This window comes from Homo sapiens, chromosome 15 (assembly GCF_000001405.40).
Source record: "Homo sapiens chromosome 15, GRCh38.p14 Primary Assembly".
NCBI classification, from domain to species: Eukaryota; Metazoa; Chordata; class Mammalia; order Primates; family Hominidae; genus Homo; species Homo sapiens.
This window is the reverse complement of record NC_000015.10, coordinates 33,015,102-33,034,634: the sequence shown is the minus strand read 5'-3', so window position 1 is coordinate 33,034,634 and position 19,533 is coordinate 33,015,102. Positions and strand designations below refer to the sequence as shown.

Genomic DNA, 19,533 nt, shown 5'->3' with positions numbered 1-19,533 from the left:
GATCTGTTGGAGGTCAGGGAGAAGAGTAAGGGATGACATCAGGGGTTTTATTTGTTTTGAGACAAGGTCTCTCTCTGTTGCCCAGGCTAGAGTGCAGTGGTGCAATCACAGCTCACTGCAGCCTAGGCCTGCTGGGCTCAAGCAGTCCTTCTGCCTCAGCTTCCTTAGTAGCTGGGACTACAGGCGCATGACACTATGCCAAGCTAATTTTTTTTTTACTTTTAGTAGAAATAAGGTCTTCTATGTTGCCCAGGCTGGTCTCAAACTCCTAGGCTCAAGCAGTCTTCCTGGAACCCTTGGCCTCCCAAAGTGCTGGGACGTCAGGGTATTTGACCTGAGCAATAGAAGCATGGAATTGCCATGGACTGGAGAAGATGACCGTGGGTGGAGCATGTTTAGGGGGAAGATTAGGCATCATTTCTGATATGTTAAACTTGAGATGTCAATTTGACATGTATGAGGAAGTGTTGAGCAGACATTTGGATTTATGAGTGTGGCATTGGGAAACGGAGCTCTGAGCTCTAGATGTATATTGGGGAGTCATTTGTACATGTAAAACTGGTGTTTAAAACTTTGAGACTGGATGAGATGGTGAACGTAGAGGAGAAGAAGAACCAGGACTGACCCAGGGGACCTGCAACAGAAAGAGACTGAGATGAAGAGGAGAAATGAGAAAGCCTCCAGTGAGGCAGGAGGAGAACTAAGAGACTACGGAGCTCTGAATGCTACGTGAGGAAAGTGTATCAGAGAGGGAGTGTGCCGCGTGATAGAGCAAATGAAGTAAGGAGTGAGAATTAACCATTGAATTTGGAAGCCTGGACAATACTGTGATCTTCTCAATGAAAGAGTATTGGAGGTGTCGGGATAAAAGTTTAATTTGGAGTGGGTTTAAAAGAGAATGATAATTGGAGACAGTATGTAGGTGACTTTGAGAGATTTTGCTACAAAGGAACAAAAAAAAAAAACCATGAGGTAGCTGGTGGGACAAATACGATCAAATGAAAGATTTCATTTTGTTTTAATTAAGGTGGAAAAAATAAAGACATTTTTGTATGCCAGAAAGAAGGTTCTGGTAGAGAGGGAAAATTTGATGTAGGAAGAGGGAAGACCTAGAGTGATACTTTCAAGAAAGTAAGAGGGATAAGAGCTTCTGTACTAAGAAAGGGGTTGGGTTTGATAGGAAAGTGGACAACCACCTCTAGTAATAGGTCCAAGGACAGGGACTGTGGTAGGCGGGAGGATGTGCAAGTTCTTCAGTTTCATCAGTGAAGTTGGAAGCAAAGTTATCAGTTAAGAGCGAAGATGAGCCAGGCGTGGTGGCTCACGCCTGTAATCCCAGCACTTTGGGAGGCTGAGGTGGGCGGATCACAAGGTCAGGAGATCAAGACTATCCTGGCTAACACGGTGAAACCCCGTCTCTACTAAAAATACAAAAAATTAGCCGCGTGTGGTGGCGGGCACCTGTAGTCCCAGCTACTCGGGAGGCTGAGGCAGGAGAATGGCGTGAACCCAGGAGGCAGAGCTTGCAGTGAGCCGAGATCGTACCACTGCACTCCATCCTGGGCGACAGAGCGAGACTCCATTTAAAAACAAAAAACAAACGAAAACGAAACAGTAATAGTAAAACAGCAGCTAGCCATATGTAATACTGCATGCCTATATGCCAGGCACTTCTCTAAGCGTTGAACAAATACTTAATAACTCTAAACCTCACAATGACCTTGCGAAGTAGGAATCACCATTATTCCCATATATAGATGAAGAAACAAGACACAGTAGTAAAATAACCCCCCCAGGTCCCACTGCTTGTAAATGGTAGCTAGGATTTGAACCAGGCCTTCTGGGTATGGAATCGGTTGTCTTAATTGTGTGGCTTTACTGCGTCAGCTCTGTGACTCCATCTACAGTAGTCATGATCTGTCTGTAAAGTGAAATCAACTCATCAATGCTTGATTGGAACCGAGGGTTATGCTCATAAACCTGGAATACTTTGTATAAGTTATTTTAATTGTGCAAATAACACCAGAGATGGTCCTCTACATATGATGGTTTGACTTAATGATTTTTTGACTTTACAATCAGTTTATCAGGACATAACCCCAATGTAAGTTGAGGAGTATCTGTAGTTTTCTGTAGAAAAATTAGAAAATACAAGGGCATACACACAAACAGAAGAAAATAATTCACTTAACTTTTTAATAACTATGGAGTATTACAAGATTAATGGATAATATTTAAGAAATTCAATGTTTTTGAACCTTTAAGCTAATATTTATTTTTGCTATTGAAATAACATTGTAATGAATACTTGCATCTACATCTTTGAACATATTCCAGAATTTATTGGAGGGGGATTCAACGAATGAGTCATTAAAACCATGATGTACTCGTTTAGTGTTGCATGCCAGCTACCAAATCAACCTCCCAAAAGGTAGTCTGCTTTTCTCTTTCCTAACTAATGACCCTAAGTGTCCTACAAGTGGAATACTATGGTTAAAACCTCCATGGATTAGAGAAAGTAAGTCAGGTAAAATGCTTAGCACAATTCCTGGTTCGTAGAACACATACGATAACTGTTAATATTAGCAACAGTTCTAGCAGTAGTAATTATTATTTTTGTTGTTAATGATTGTAACACTTCATGATTACATTTATTGATTTTTAGACAACATCGGGTTTCATGACATAAAAATGTGAAAACATTTTGGAAACAAGTAGACAAAAAATTGATACATTACTGCTTTATCAATATTTATTTGTTTACCAACAAGGTTGAACATTTGTTCATATATTTATAGGACATAGAAACTTGATGACTGTGACTTCCTATTTCTGTGACATCTGTTACCACAGTAACTAATGCAGTCAGTGGGAATATGTGAATTTCATGAGCCTGGCCCTCCAGCTTGCCAGTCGTGAGAGCCAGAGGGAATGGAGCAGCCTGAGGCTGTATCACCTGATGGCTGGATGCATCTGGCTGCTTATTCAGCTGTGGCTCCTTTATTTGGGACAGCTGTGAACGCGGCTCCAGGAGTTGCCTTCATGAAATGAAGCATATGATGACAACTGGAAGAAGAGGACGAGTACATATTGCTAAAGGTTTAATGGGGATAGTAATGGCCAAGTGGAAAAAAACCTGTGGGTGGGGATGAATTGGTGCTGACTGGTCATGCCACGAGGTCTGTATTTCAGGAAACCACTAATTGGGGCAGCTCCTCTGGAGAGGACTGGGCCTGAGTCAGATCTGCCCTGTGGATTGCAAGTCCTCTGTGAAGTTTGTGCTCTCAGGTGCATCAGAAGCAGACCCTCTCCACAGTGCTGGCTCCTCCTGATGGTAGAAAGCTTAGGCTTGTGTATCATGATGGTTTTTTGTCTTCCTCGATGGACATTTATTGAGTTTGGATAGTATGCTGTGGACATTAAGAGTATATAGATTCTGGAGTTAGGCTTCCTGGGTTCGAATCCTGGCTGTATTTCTTATTACCTGTGTAAGCTTGGGCAACCATTTAAGCTGTTTGTGCCTTGATCTTTTTTACTTCTAACACGGATGTGGTAATAATAATAATAATAATTCCCACACAGGGAGTTGAACAATGAGAACACATGGACACAGGGAGGGGAACATTGCACACCAGGGCCTGTCGGGGGGTGGGGTGGGGAGCTAGGGGAGGGACAGCATTAGGAGAAATACCCAATGTAGATGACCGGTTCATGGGTGCAGCAAACCACCATGGCACGTGTATACCTATGTAATAAACCTGCACATTCTGTACATGTGTTCCAGAACTTAAAGTATATTAATAAAAAAACTCCCACATAAGGTTTATATAGATTATTTGAGTTTATATATTTTATCTAATGTATAATACACATTTTCTACACCTGAAATTAGGATGTGTTTTACAATGGGCATTTTACAATTATAACTAACAGCAGTTTTACTTTCTTTTCGGTATGTAAATACTGATGCATCTTAGAATCAGTGGTGTTCTTGTATATGAAGAAATAGGGCATTTGTAAACATTAAAACATGGTTTGGCAATATAAAATTCTATTTTAGTGTTATCATTTGTTTGGTTTTGTGACTGAAACCAGATCCTAATGTCCCCATTAAACCAATAAGGCATATTTATTGCAAGCCGCTTATCCTTGTATTGTGAGAGCTCTTAACACAAAACTTCAGTAAGTCAGAACGTAGATCCACAGAGTGACGTGATTTTTCAGTTCTTTGGGGATTCAGGAATACATTATGTGACTTTCAAGATGAACTTTTCCGGTCACATTCATCTCTTGACCTACCAGGTCTCTGGTCTCTATTTTCTTTTAATGAACACTGGGATAACCCATTCCAAATTCCGGCCTCTCCTCACTTCCAGTGGTGATTCTTTTCCATTTCAGTCAGCTAATACTATCTGCATCTACATTCTGGCTCTTATATTTACTTAACACAGTTTTAGTTTTTTGTTTGTTTATTTTTGAGACGGAGTCTTGCTCTGTCGCCCAGGCTGGAGTGCAGTGGTGCAATCTCAGCTGGCTGCAAGCTTTGCCTCCCGGGTTCACGCCATTCTCCTGCCTCGGCCTCCCGAGTAGCTGGGACTACAGGTACCCGCCACCACGCCCAGCTATTTTTTTTGTATTTTTAGTAGAGACGGGGTTTCACCCTGTTAGCCAGGATGGTCTTGATCTCTTGACCTCATGATCTGCCTGCCTCGGTCTCCGAAAGTGCTGGGATTACAGGCGTGAGCCACCGCACCTGGCCTTTGAAAAGATAAATTATAACATTCCTGTTTCTACCTACCAACTTCTATCATTCTGGCTTTTTCCCACAGTTCTCCCAAACCACAGATCCCTTCTTCCTCAGGGGCTTAACTCCAGACATCTTTTTCTCTGTGTCTGTCAGCTCTTGCTGTCTTCACTTCCTTCTCTGAGACACTGAGATTCTTTAATGCTGCATTCTCGGTGATATCTTTGATTTCTTTACCCCATTGCCTTCTATAGCAGCCATGTGGTAAACCCTAGTCTTGAGAGATCCAAACGTTTGGCTCTTCCTACCCTTGTCTGGACTACAAAAGCTATTGAGGAAAACTAATACAACTGTCAAGGTTCTGCCACTGTGTGGATTTGTGGTTTCTAGTTACAAACAGGTCCTCCATCCCTAGCGTGTGTTCCTAGTCTACACGCGACTCTCAACAGCTGCTATTTCAAGTATTTTCCATCTCCCTCAGAACATCTAGTTCTCTCTCTCTCTCCCTTTACCCTGAGCATTTGACCTCATTTAAAAGCCATAAAGAGGCTTCAGAGTATGGTAGAAAATATATTAGAAAGGTCAGGAGACCTGTGCTCTGCTGAACAGCCATGTGATTTTTTTTTTCCTTGTGTGTTCATAAAATGTGTTTCCACCTGCATATGGAGCTGAGATTCTCTATGCTATAAATCGAATGAGTCAGTTTATTTGGGTATTCATTTCTTAGTTTCTTTATGTATTTTGAGGAAGGGGGTTAGTCTAAGTGACCTCTGAGACTCTGTCCTTAAGATTCTGATTTTTATGGTATTATTTAAGTGTATTTCTTCAAATCAGCTTCAATTTGCAGATAGATATTACTTCTGACAATGTCATTTCTTAGGTGAAACATTCTTACTTGTCACAGAAACCAGGAAGTTGTGTTCTTTTTGTGGTGGCAAATTTATCTGTTTTCTATTTTATTATTTTCAAACTAGTGAAAATGACTTGTTGTTTGGACTAGCGTCGGATCAATAGGAGGGAGGGAGCATTTGAAGAAACTTAAGAAGTATTTTGTTTCTGTATTAGAGTTAATCAAGAGTTTGCCTTGAGCCTCAGACTGGGGCATCTGGGGAAGAAGAATGTGTTTTCTGACCAGGTTCTACCCCAGAGATTGGATAGGGCACGTGGCCAGCAGCCCCTTGAGGTTTGCTACCAGATGAAACCGAACATTTCTATGAAATGAGCTGATATCCTTCACATGCTGCCCAGATGGTGCATTTCAAAAATGATCTCACAGATTATCTTGAGTTTTGCCAGTAAAGTGGGATTTCCAAAAGTATCTTGCCTTTTTAAAAATTTTTATTTATTTATTTATTTTTATTTTTATTTTTATTTTTTCCTCTGTAGTTCTTTATATGTTTTTTCCAGCATTTGAGCATTATTTCCAGTTGCTAGAATTTCAGGGCAACTTGTGTAGGGTAAGGAAGAACCCAGTTCCTTTATATTAGCTCTTGGCTCACTGCAAAGTTCACTTTTGTGGCCTTATCAACTTGGATAGCAGAGAGCTTGGAGTGAGAGTCAAATGTAGGAGCTTACTTTTTATAATCTATATACACGTGTCACTTTCTGGCCTTCCCCAGGTGTCACTGTTTGGGGATAACTTACAAATGCAGTTCTTGACTTTGGATGTCTATCAGAGTCACCTGGAAAGCTTTTAAAAATTCCAGCTCCTAACACGCATCTCATGCCAATTAAGTCTATGTCTAGGGCTGGAATCCAGACATAAGTAAATTTTAAACCTCCCCAGGTGATTGTAATATGTAGTCAATGTTTAAAGCCACTGGAATAAACGCTTTATGGGGGTAGGGATTAAATAGGCTGGCTCATGGAGAAATTTTGACTTGCCCAAGTGAGCTGGTTGCTTCTCCAGTTCATCTTTTCTCATTTTGATGCTAGTAACACTGTAGCGGGATCACAGGTGGTGAGATGTGGATGACTGATTTTCAGAAGCCTGTTAGTACAACCTTTGAGCAGCAACTGTATTTTGGCTGTGAATCAGTGTGTGCTTTTCTTCATATGCTCTTGTCTGTCATATTTCTAACCCTCTACAAGAAGGGACAACAGGTGCTGTGTATGTATATTCGTGTGTGTGTGTTGTCTCCATTTCATTTGTTCTTTTATTGTTTATCCCGTTCACTTTGAACACTAGATCGTTTCTCACTGTATCAGTTATGAGAAAGTCGGTTATCAGGAAAGATCAGATTACTTGGGGGAAAAACAAAGCTAAAACTACTACCATAAAGCAACAACAAAACCCCAGAAGATTTGAAAAGGGCACGTTAAACTGAAATGTCTAAAACTAGTGTTTCTGGCTGTCCGTGATTCTAGTTGGCTCTGTTTCCACCTGTGTGCAAATGTAGTCCCCAATTTCTTTAAATTCCTGGCCCATTGCATACAGTTCTCACTAAGAATACTTAAGAGTTCCTAGAGTTGCCAGATAAAACACAAGATGTGAACTGAGTGAATGAGTAATTACTTAGTATATTTCAAATATTGAATGGGACACACTTATACTAAAAAATTATCTGTTATTATTCTGAAGTTTACATTTAACTGAGCACCCTGTACTTTTATTTTCTAAATTAAAATAGAAAATAGGTATAGCTCATATCTCCTGGCACCCTGTGGAGGTATGGGCTAGGCTTCTGGACTAGAAGACCAGAGTGCTGTCCGTATTTTCTGGCCTGTGTACTCTTGATGTGAGCTTACCTCTTCCCATATTTCTATAGGAAGCTGTTTCTTAGTTTTCTATTCCAAACTTTTGCATTAAAAAAAAAATATGTCTGTTAGGCTTTCTTGTCTTTAGTGTTAGGATTGAGAGATGCAGATTTAAAAACAGCACCCCCACACTCCACACAAATTCAGATCTTAAATTTTGAATGGTAGGAGCAATGCAAAATAGGACCTTATTCTTAGAGGCAGTAAGCCCAGTGACAGCTGCAATATGTTACATATTTTGGAGTACTTTTCCACCACGTGGGAAATGCAAGTGTCCTGTCTCCCTTAGAAACCTGGGCAGGTAGCCTGGCCTCCTGGGTACTTGTCTGGCCTGGTTTACTAGAAAATTCCACTCTCTGTCGAGTTAAATCTGGCTGACTTTCACCTGCCTCTTAAGAGACTGACCTTCACCTCTCTCTCCTGAGGTTCATTTTGTCAGCTTTAAATAAAAGGCTCTGTCAGTTACTGAGTCAAAGCACAAGCTAAGGACAGAGATTCTTCTACCATTTTCAGTCAAGTCAACCAATGCTTATATATGCATTATATAATCATGATATAAAATCATATATGTATTATATGAGGAATATGCTTTTTCTTACAAGTACTTTATATATTGTTTGAGTGTACATTCTGTTTGAGGTAGGCAATTTTTTCCTCACTGATTATAAGGCTAAACCTAGTCTTATAAACAGAAGTGTGTGTGTGTGTGTGTGTGTGTGTGTGAAAATTTGGACGTATCCTCTAATGTTTATAAAGAAGGATCCTGAATAATTTCAAACAAATAGAATAAAGTAGAGTTAGTATTTATATATTAACCATCTATACTTAAGCTTTTTATCATATTTTCTTTAGATTTTTAAAACCAGTGTTGAGGCCCCTTTTGTTACCTCCCTTTATTCAATTTCTCTGCCTCTTTCCCCAGAGATGATTAACTCTCCCAGCATTCATGTGTGGCTACCACCATGCAGAACTCTGTGGGTTGCTGTTTACAATCAACCTCTGTGTGTGTGTGTGTGTGTGTGTGTGTGTGTGTGTGTATGCCTAAGCAATATATAGCATGGGTTTTTTAAACCCCATTCAGATGCTGTCACAGTGTAAGTTTTGAGAGCCATATCATTGTAAACATTACCAGTTTTATCTCTTCTTTTCCAATTCTTACATCTCTTTTCTTAGCACATTATCTCACGCCTCTAGTTTAATGTAGGAAAATGTGGGTAATGGTGTGCATTTTAAATCGTGCCTCCTGAAGTTTTCCCGTTACTTTCAAAGTTTGTTGAAAGTTCTTGAAAGATATTCTGAATCTGATTCTCTTCTATTCTAACTTAGCTAAGAAGATTTTTTTCTTTTTAAAATCAAAGAATGATGTGGAGCCTTATCTGTGTCATTCTGTATCATTTTGAGATTTTGAGATACAATAGGTTTTCTCCATTAGTATGTTAATGTGAGATACCACTGATAAATTTTCAGATAATATATAGTTCCTACATTCTTAGAACAAACGCCGCATAATTGCTTTGTTGGTTGGTTGGGTTTCACAAATTGCTGAAATAGATTTGTTAATTTTAGGTTTTTAAAGTTTCTTTTAATTGTTTTTAGCTTATCATTTTATTGTGGATTTTAATTTAATTGCATTATAGAAAGCATTACTTTTGCATGGCCTGTGTGACAGTATTTGAAGAATTTTTGAAAGGTTTTCTTTGTGAATCATCAATTTTTTGCAAATATGTCAGTGATATATTTTGAAAATATATGTTCCTGAAAAAGATACATGTTGATTTGTTGGTTCTGGGGTATATATAATCAAGATTGTTGATTGTGTCAGTCATTATGTTTTTATTTGCTTGATCTATTTCTGGTAGAGGGATATTTCATATCATTTTGATTAATTTTGTTATTGAATTTCTCTCAGCTTCTTTTGCTTCATAGATTTTAAGTGTATTATGTTAGTTGTGTTCAACTTCATGATTATACTCACTACTTAACTTAGGAAATAAAACATTACAAATATATTTGAAGCCTTCTATATGCCCTACCCCAGCCACTTGGGTAAAATTGTTATTAATCCCATGTTTTATACTTATAACAATAATGTATAAAGTCTCAAAACAGTGGATAGTATGGTTTTTATGTATTTCATGAGTCTACAAAATGGCTTCCACTATGTATTTTTTGGCAGCTTTTTCTCTCAAAATAATGTTTGTTAGATTTATCTGCATTCGTATGTATAGCTCTATTTCATTCATGTTAATATCTGCATAATATCACTCTGAGTGAATGTACATCTTAATTGCTTGTCTGTAGTGCTGGTGATGGAAATTTAAGTTTATTCCTATTTTTCACTGTTAGAAACAATGGTTCCATAGTGTTCTTTTTAATATTTGTATTAATGTGTAAATGCTTCACTAGAGGATGAACATTAGAGTAGAATTTCTGATTTTACTTATGTGCGCCTTTACATTTGGTAGATATTGTCAAAATGTTCTCTAAAGTGATTGTTGCAGTTAATGCTCCCATCAACAATGTGTGGAATTCTAATGCATTCTCACCAGCAGTTAGTATTAGCAGACTAATTAATATTTTTAAATCTGGGCCAGGCGTGGTGGCTCACACCTGTAATCCCAGCACTTTGGGAGGCCGAGGTGGGCGGATTGCGAGGTCAGGAAATCGAGACCATCCTGGCTAACACGGTGAAACCCCGTCTCTACTAAAAATACAAAAAATTAGCCAGGCGTGGTGGCGGACGCCTGTAGTCCTGGCTACTCAGGACGCTGAGGCAGGAGAATGGCATGAACCCAGTAGGCGGAGCTTGCAGTGAGCCGAGATCACGTCACTGCACTCCAGCCTGGGCGACAGAGCGAGACTCCACATCTCAAAAAAAAAAAAAAAAAAAAAAAAAAAAAAAAAAAAAAATCTGATAGGTGTGAAATAGTATTCCCTGTAGTTTTAATTTGCGCTGTCCTGAGGACAAGTGAGATTGTGTCTTTTTGTATGTTTATATGTTTATTAGCCATTTGGAGTTTATCTTCCATAAATTTACTGTCCTTTTGTTCATTTTTCTAATGGTTGCTATCCTTTTTATTTATTTATAGGATTTCTTTATTCTGGATGCTAACATTTTATTGGTTATATGCTTTGCAAATGTCTTCTCCATTTATGTGGCTTATCAGTTTCTCCTGCCATCTTTCAACAGACACGATTCTGGTATATTTTAATATAGCTGAATCACTAAAAGTGATTCTTGTGAATGGTTTTGAAGTATGAATATTTTTCTTAAATGTGGCTTTAAAAAAATAGTCTATCCCTCCCCCACAAATTTCAATGCAACCTCAAATCACGTATTATGTTTCCATATGTTGCTTGGCTTTATTTATATGCTTCCTTTTGTACTCTATTTTTTGGTATTTTTTTCTATCACTGTGTCAATGCCAGGGTCTCTTCAGTATTTGCTCTTTCCTATTATCCTTTCTTGCACCATGCTGCACTTTCAATTAATTATTCAGTATCTTTTACTCACAAACTCCTTCCTTGACTGTACCTGAGTTTATTAAGCTTTTGCACCTTTTATTTCAATGTCTGTTGAGTATTTTGTTTCTAATATATCAGAATTTTACAATCACCTACTATTGTTTCTTGTCTCTTAGTGTGTTGCTACTATCATTATTGTTTATGATGATTATTATTCTTGCCTTTATTTTGGTAAGGATTCTAAACATTACTAAAATATTTTCATATGTTTAAGATTTAAATTTGCATTGGGTGATGTCATGTTTCAATTGTTGATTGTGTTATCTATCTCGATGCTTAGGTTTCTTCTTATGTTTTGAAAGTTTGGCTTGAAGGCTCGTGATCTATAGGATGATTTTTTTTTTAAGTTTCCCCCTCCCCTTCCCCTTTACCCTTATTTGTTTTGCAGTTGTCTTACCAGGTAAGACCCCCAGACTAAGTCGCTCTTATAATAGCGTATTGGGTTCACTAGCCTGAGGTGGTATGTGAATGTTGCAGATTTAGTCGGCTGGTGACAGGGATAGATGGATTTGAGGTTTGGTCTTTTTTTTCTTTTTTTTTTTTTTTTTTGGGTGGGGGAGGGGGATCAGGGTCTTGCTCTGTCACCCAGGCTGGAGTGCAGTGGTGCGATCATAGCTCACTTCCACCTAGAACTTCTGGCCTCAGGAGATCCTCCCACCCTCTGCCACCCAAAACACAGGGATTACAGGCTGGAGCCACTGTGCCCCAGCCAAGACCCCCAGGCAGCAGTTGACAACCTCTTCCAACTTCCCTTTCCCATCTGGGAACTACAGCTGTGTCTCAGTCCCTTTTTCTAGGCAACAAGTCTGGGCCTGGCTTCCTGCCCCACGTTAGTGCTGTCAGTCCCTGTTACTCTGCAGTAACTTGACTCCAGGATGTCCTGCCTGCCCTGCCTGCCAGAGGAACTGGGGCACAGCAGGCCAGAGCTTCAGGCCTGAAGTGCCACTTACTGGTTTGTCCCATTTCTATTTCTGAAATACGTAATTCTGCTTTGGTACTTGTCTGTGTCTTTTACTTGCTTTATGTTATAATTTTCATTGTTACATAGGCTTAGGAGGGAGCTAAAAAATGTGAACCTTTAACAACTGGAGGTCTGTTGGGACACTTTTAACTTTTTTAGTAACATCAGATTGGAAGTTCCTCTTATTTGTTCTGATATTTCTCAGCTAGTTACCATATCCATACTAGTCCACTTTTCAAATCAAGGAAAAGTGGTTGTTTCAGTTTGGCTCATCCTTGTCTCTCCCCAGCCTCCCCTCCATACCCAATCCTTCAAGTCTTGCTGTGGCACTTGATAGCAAACTTCGAGTTTCAGTATGAAGTACAATTGACCATCTGTATTCTCGGATTCTGCATTTGCAAATCCAACTAGCCTCAGATTGGAAACATTTGGGAAAAAAATACCAAAACATCATACAAATAAAAAAGATAAGTATTTACATAGCATTGACGTTGTATTAGGTATTTATTATAAGTAATCTAGAGGTGATTTAGTAGGATATGCATAGGTTATACACAAATGCTACACCATTTATATATAAGGACTCACGGATTTTAGTATCCTCAGGTCCTGGAACCAATCCCTCCCACCAAGGGATGACTTTATTGTGACTGCCACCTAGTGACAGGAGTTGGTTACTTTCAATTGTAGTTGAAATTTTATTCTAGTTAAGTGTGTGCCTTTTCTAGAAGATTTGTTTTGTGGCCATTATTTAACTGTTGTTGACTATGATTTTTAAAAACCACATAGGTAGAAAGGAGATTGTAAGTTTTAGGGACCATATATTCATGGAATTTTAAACTGCTTAGCACCTCTATTATGATAGAACATAAAACAAGGGTAACAGAAAAGAACAGGGTAGAAGGCAGGTTATCCCAGGATTGGCAGCTAGAATTGGACTTAATGACAGTTTTCTCCATGGTAAGGTGTCCATCAAATGGTCTCAGGCCTTGAATACATACCTTTTCAATACAGGTAAAAGTCAGAGATATAGCCACGAATTTCCTGACTTTTTGTACCTCTTTTATATCATCATCCCAGAACATAAAGACTCAATATCTGTCCTGAACTAATTTTTTGAGTATTAAACAATATAAGCCTATTCATGTCTCCCATTTTATCCTCTTTCCTTAAACCTTTTTCTCTGTGTGTGTGTGTGTGTATGCATAGAGAGAGAGAGAAGTTGGTGAGACTCCACCCCAGTTGCTGGAAGCATCCAAAATGCTATGAGTCTCTAAATTGTTAACTTGACTGAAAACTTACCAAGTGTATTCATCAGCTATTGCTGTAATAATGCTGTGTAACAAACCATGCTAAAATTCAGCAGCTTTCGGTAACAAGCATTTGTTAGCATAGGTGTAAAGGTCAACTAAGGTTCAGCTGAGCTGGTTTGGGCTTTTTCAGGCTGTTCTTGACTGCTGACTGTGGCTAGGGTTTAAGTCTGCACCATGTATCTTTCTCTGGGACCCAGGCTGAGTGAGTTGTAGCCACCCAGAATATGTTTTAATTACATGAAATAGCAGGAGTACCGGAGGCAAGTCAAACTATGCAATTAAATTTAAATCCCTCCTTACATCACGTCAGCTTATATTCCACTAGCCAAAACAAGTCATATGGCCAAGGCTTAAAGCCATAGGAAGTATTCTCCATTGCCCAAAAAGAAAGAGGTGAAAGCAGATTAAATATTTGTTAAAGTTCCAGTCGTTCACATTAACATATATAAAATGATCAAATGAAATACAATAAAGTCTTTTAAGAAAACACAGGCTTAAAGGGCTAATACTGGAATATAAATGCCAAAAGTTCTTAGATATTTCAAAGATGCACATCCTGAAAGCCTTTTAAGGTTGGAAATGTGTGCTGTTTCTTTTATATACACAATGCTTAGTTCAGTGCCTGGCACACGGAGACACTGAGCACATGCATGAAAGAGGCTAACTAAGCATAGTGTCTTTTTTTTTTTTTTTTTTGAGACGGAGTTTCGCTCTTGTCTCCCAGGCTGGAGTGCAATGGCGTGACCTCAACTCTCCACCTCCTGGGTTCAAGCAGTTCTCCTGCTTCAGCCTCCTGAGTAGCCAGGATTACAGGCACCTGCCACCACGCCCGGCTACTTTTTGTATTTTAGTAGAGACGGGGTTTCACCATGTTGGTCAGGCTGGTCTGGAGCTCTTGACCTCCAGTCATCCACCCACCTCGGCCTCCCCAAATGCTGGGATTACAGGCATGAGCCACCGCGCCTGGCCACATAGTCTTATAGTGACCGAATCTGGTGGGGGGGTTGGGGGGGTCGGTTTCCCAAGCAGTCAGTTCTGTAGTGGACACTAGCAGCTGGGTATTCCCCAATTCAATAGTGACACTGTTTACCTGGCGATAGTATTTGATACCACAAGTTGAGGGCTCCGTCCTGCAAGACTGCCCCCCTTTCGGATGCCAGTGACAAGTCTGAGCTTCCAGACCTTCTGACTGACCAACTTCAAGTAGGGGTTCTCACAACCCCCAGCCTCTTTAGATTTGGTTACTTTGCTGGAGTTGCTCACAGAGCTCAGGGAAACACATTTCCTGGTTTACTAGAAAGCATAGTGAGAGGTGACAGCATGCTGGCAGCCCTCGCTCGCTCTCGGTGCCTCCTCGGCCTTGGCGCCCATTCTGGCCACACTTGAGCCCTTCAGCCCACCACTGCACCCGTGGGAGCCCTTCTCTGGGCTGGCTGAGGCCGGAGCCGGCTCCCTCCGCTTGCGGGGAGGTGTGGAGGGAGAGGCACGGACGGGAACCAGGGCTGCACGCGGTGCTTGCGGGCCAGCTAGAGGTCCGAGTGGGCATGGGCTTGGCGGGCCCCGCACTCCGAGTGGCCTGCCGGCCCTGCCGCGGGCAGTGAGGGGCTTAGCACTCAGGCAAGCAGCTGCGGAGGGTGCGCCGGGTCTCCCAGCAGTGCTGGCCCACTGGTGCTGCGCTCGATTTGTCCCCGGGGCTTAGCTGCCTCCTTGCAGGGCAGGGCTCGGGACCTCCAGCTCGCCATGCCTGAGTTTCGCACCGCCCCGGGCTTCTGCGCTGCCAGAGCCTCCCCGACAAGCGCCGCCCCCTACTCCAGGGCGCCCGGTCCCATCGACCGCCCAAGGGCTGAGGAGTCGCACGGCGTGGGACTGGCAGGCAGCTCCACCTGCGGCCCCGGTGCAGGATCCACTGGGTGAAGCCAGCTGGGCTCCTGAGTCTGGTGGGGTCTTGGAGAATCTTTATGTCTGGCTAAGGGATTGTGAATGCACCAATTGGCACTCTGTATCTAGCTCAAGGTTTGTAAATGCACCAATCAGCACTCTGTGTCCCGCTCAGGGTTTGTAAATACACCAATGGACACTCTGTATCTAGCTAATCTAGTGGGGAGGTGGAGAACTTTTGTGTCTAGCTCAGGGATTGTGAATGCACCAATCAGCACCCTGTCAAAACAGACCAATCAGCTCTCTGTAAAACAGACCAATCAGCTCTCTGTAAAATGGACCAATGAGCAGGATGTGGGTGGGGCCAGGTAAGAGAATAAAAGCAGGCTGCCGGAGCCAGCAGTGGTAACCCGCTCAGGTCCTCTTCCGCATGGTGGAAGCTTTGTTCTTTAACTCTGCAATAAATCTTGCTGCTGCTCACTCCTTTGGGCCCACATTGTCTTTATGAGCTGTAACACTCACCAGGAAGGTCTGCAGCTTCACTCCTGAGCCAGTGAGACTACGAACCCACCGGAGGATCGAACAACTCCAGACGTGCTGCCTTAAGAGCTGTAACACTCAACCGCGAAGGTATGCAGATTCACTGAAGCCAGCGAGACCACCAGCCCACCAGAAGGGAGAAACTCCGAACACATCCGAACATCAGAGGGAACAAACTCCGGACACGCCACCTTTAAGAACCGTAACAGTCATGGCAAGGGTCCGCAGCTTCATTCTTGAAGTCAGTGAGACCAAGAACACACCAATTCCGGACACAATGGTACAAAGGATACAGATGAAGAGATGCATAGGACAAGGTACGGGGGAAGGGCCGTAGAGCTTACATTTCTTCTTGGGCGCACCACCCTCTGGGAACCTTTTCGTGTTCAGCTGTCCAGAAGGTTTCTGAACCCAGTCCTCTTGGGTTCTCACGGAAGCTCTATTATGTACGCATGGGTGATGAAATCATTGGCCATTGGTGAGCGACTCAACCTTCAGCTCCTCTGCCCTCCCCATAGGTTGGGAGGTGGAACTGAAAGTCCCAACCCTCTAATCATGTCTTGGTCTTTCAGGTGTCCTGCCCCCATCCTGAAGCTACCTAAAGGCTTCCAGTTATTGGTCGATCATTAAGATTAAAAAAAAGACATCACTTTGGAAAGTGTAAGGATTTTAGAAATTGTCAGGAAGTGGGGTCAAGGGCCAAATACATATTTTGCAGTATCACACACACTAATCTCATGCACAAGGGCTCTGCCTTCATGACCTGATCACCTCCCAAAGGCTCCATCTCCTAGTACCATCACCTTAAGGGGGTAGGATTTTAACATATAAATTTTTTTTTTTTTTTTTCTTGAGAGGTAGTGTCGCTCTGTTGCCCAGGCTGGAGTGCAGTGGTGTGATCTCGGCTCACTGCAACCTCCACCTCCTGGGTTCAAGTGATTCTCCTACCTCTGCCCCCCGAGTAGCTGGGATTACAGGTGCGAGCCACCACACCCAGCAAATTTTTGTATTTTTGGTAGAGACTAGGTTTTGCCATGTTGGCCAGGCTGGTCTGGAACTCCTGACCTCAGGAAATCCGTCCGCCTCAGTCTCCCAAAGTGCTGGGATTACGGGCGTGAGCCACTGCACCCAGCCCATCATATGGATTTTAGTAGGACACAAACATTCAAACCATAGCGGTAAGAAACTAGTGGCTTGGAGAATTAGAAGTTTCCCCCCATCTTTTGATACTGACATTTTTATATTTTTGCCTAAAGAAATTCTTATGTGTTGAATGAGGAAAGGTTGACAGTTACAATTCCTAAATTCATGGGATTTCTCCCAGTTATTGTCCAATATTTTATTTTTCTGATATAGAAATTAGGCTCCTTTCTGTAAGTTATTGAACAACATAGTAGGTTGACTCACTGATAATTCACTTCTTTTTTGAAAAAAAAAATCAACTATTTTTAGAGTAGTTTTAGGTTGATAGAAAAATTGAGCGGAAAGTAGAGTTCCCTCTCACCGTCTACTGCGCCCACATACCACACTTTCCCTTAGTATTAGCATTCTCCATTGGAGTGGTACATTTGTTACAGTTGACCCAATACATTATTATTAACTAAAGTCCACAGTTTACATTAGAATTGGCTCTGTACTGAAGATGGATTTTGAATAATGTATGACCCGTATCAACTATTATAGTAGCATACAGAGTAGTTGCACTGTCCTAAAAACCCCCTGTCGCTCCACTGATTCCTCCCTCCTCCCAAGGCCTTGGCAACCACTTTTTTTTTTTTAAATTATGCTTTAAGTTCTAGGGTACGGCCTCATCCTTTTTGAAGAGGCAGGGTGAACCCCAGCCACCCCAAATTTGATTGAGATGCCAATATTGATGACCGCAGATGCATTATGTGTTTGCACACACACAAGGGCATGAAAAGATTTATTATTCACATAAGGAGACCTCTGGGGAAAGCGAGACAGGCCTCTCAAGCTGGTCCAAAAATGACTTGCAAGAGAAAGTGTAGAAAACTGGCTTGGGGTTTTTATGGCGTTCAACAGACAGTACTGGGCTATGGCTTCTGCGGGCAGTGGTCTGTGTGGTTCACATCTCCTGCGTCAAAGCCTTTACTATCAGATCGCCCAGGTGTGTGGGACACCGGGGAAGAAGGAGGGGTGAGGCTTAAAAACTGTCAGGAGTCAATCATCAAACAGTGGAGTTAGATCTCTTCCTGTGCTTTTGCTGACGTGTGTGCTGGTTGAAGGCCCGCTGACAAAAGGTGTTGGATCAACATTACAGGTAACAGCCTCTCACCAGCTGCTAGCCTGAGACACCCAGTTAAAAAGCTCTGCTGGCAGCTGTTGACTACTTTCTCTTTACTTCACTGCCTTTGAATCTACCTCCACTGTTTCTGACAGACACAAAACCGGTTATGCTTTCTTCAAACTGCACAGTTACTAAGGACTGCATTGTTTATAAGCATCTGGAAGGGAAACAGAGGACTCGCAGGGCCCCAAGACCAGGCTGCACACTTTGGTTTCATAAGCTTATTAAATATGAAAGCTCACATTTGATTTTTATTCTTAGATTTTGGAATAAATGACTTGTGACTCTGCCTTACATGAACTGTGACCATTTTTGTCAATGTTAGAAATGGTCAGAGAAGCTTTGTGCATTCACTCACGGATGAGTTTGTTTGAATTTGTATTTATCTGTCAGTGATTAGCATATTTTTTCAAATGTCATCCTTTATGCACCAGCTTCTTGAAATTTGATACATATTTATACTATTTTTACTATTATTTAATTTGTTATTTTAATGAATTTACTGTTTTTGCTTAAATAAGCCTTATTAAAGCAGTGGTTCTCAAACTTTGCTGTGCATTATAATCACTTGGTAGGCTTGGTAAAGTAGCCTCAGAGATTCCAAGTCAATAAATCCACCGTAGAGGAAAGAATTTGCATTTCTAAGATGTTCCAGGTGATGCTGATGCTCCTGGTCCAGGGACCAAACTCCGATCAACACTATCTGGGAAGCATTATCAGTGAAATCACGGGTTTTATGTGTGTGTTTGATAATTTTTCCCTAATGCACATTAAAACATTTAACTGTCAAAATAAAAAGTTCAGATACCTACAAAAAATGACCTTGCCGGTGTGTGTGCTAAGTTTTGGAAGCACTGATTGAGTATCGTCCAAGTATAATTCAGAGGAATGATTTTTTTTTTTAAGTCACATATGTACTTGAAAATACAACAATGTGAGGTAGTGGGTAAAGGCCAGTGAGAGGCACAGGCCGGACATATCAGGATCCGCGGGTAGGAGTAGATCCATGTTTCCTACTCAGTGGAGAATTCAGAAAGTTTCTACTTCCTAACTGTACATAATCCAGTTTTGCCCATGTCATGTGCGTGTGTGATGCGGTGGAGGCTTGGATATATGTGTAAGAAAGAGCGCATAAATGAAAATCAGATTTAACCAGAAACTAGTAACTACAGGCCCTGAAATTCCCTTAGAAAAGACAGACGAATCATAATCACAGAACTTGTCGGTGCCAGCCATTGAAATTCACACCATTCACTCTGACCCCTGGCTCTTCAAACCTCCCTGTGATTAAAATTAGCATTCCCCTTTTACAGAATTATGAAAAAAGTTACCCCAAGTTTACGAGTGATTCTGGTAATAGGATAAAGCAAGCAACTTTGAAGTTTACAGAGGCTTGGGGTTTTGTTTGCATCTGCTGCTTATGTAACCAAAAGAACGGCAAGAACGAAAACAAGGGAATAAACAAAAACTCTGCAGAGCCAGCACACGTTCTTTGGGTCTGAATGAT

General features: G+C 41.3%; 1 protein-coding gene across 16 annotated transcripts in view; it reads left to right on the top strand.

Moving 5' to 3' along the window:
- FMN1 (formin 1) overlaps positions 1 to 19,533 on the top strand; it is a 429,171-nt gene that overhangs the window by 160,080 nt on the left and 249,558 nt on the right. The window contains exon 1 of one of the 16 annotated variants that reach the window (XM_047432441.1): positions 15,583 to 16,035. The exons of the other annotated variants lie outside the window; for them this stretch is intronic. Coding sequence (XP_047288397.1) covers positions 15,930 to 16,035 — 106 coding nt within the window. The 5' untranslated portion in view covers positions 15,583 to 15,929. Of the gene's footprint in view, positions 1 to 15,582; positions 16,036 to 19,533 lie in introns of those variants that run through there. 16 annotated transcript variants of the gene reach the window in all.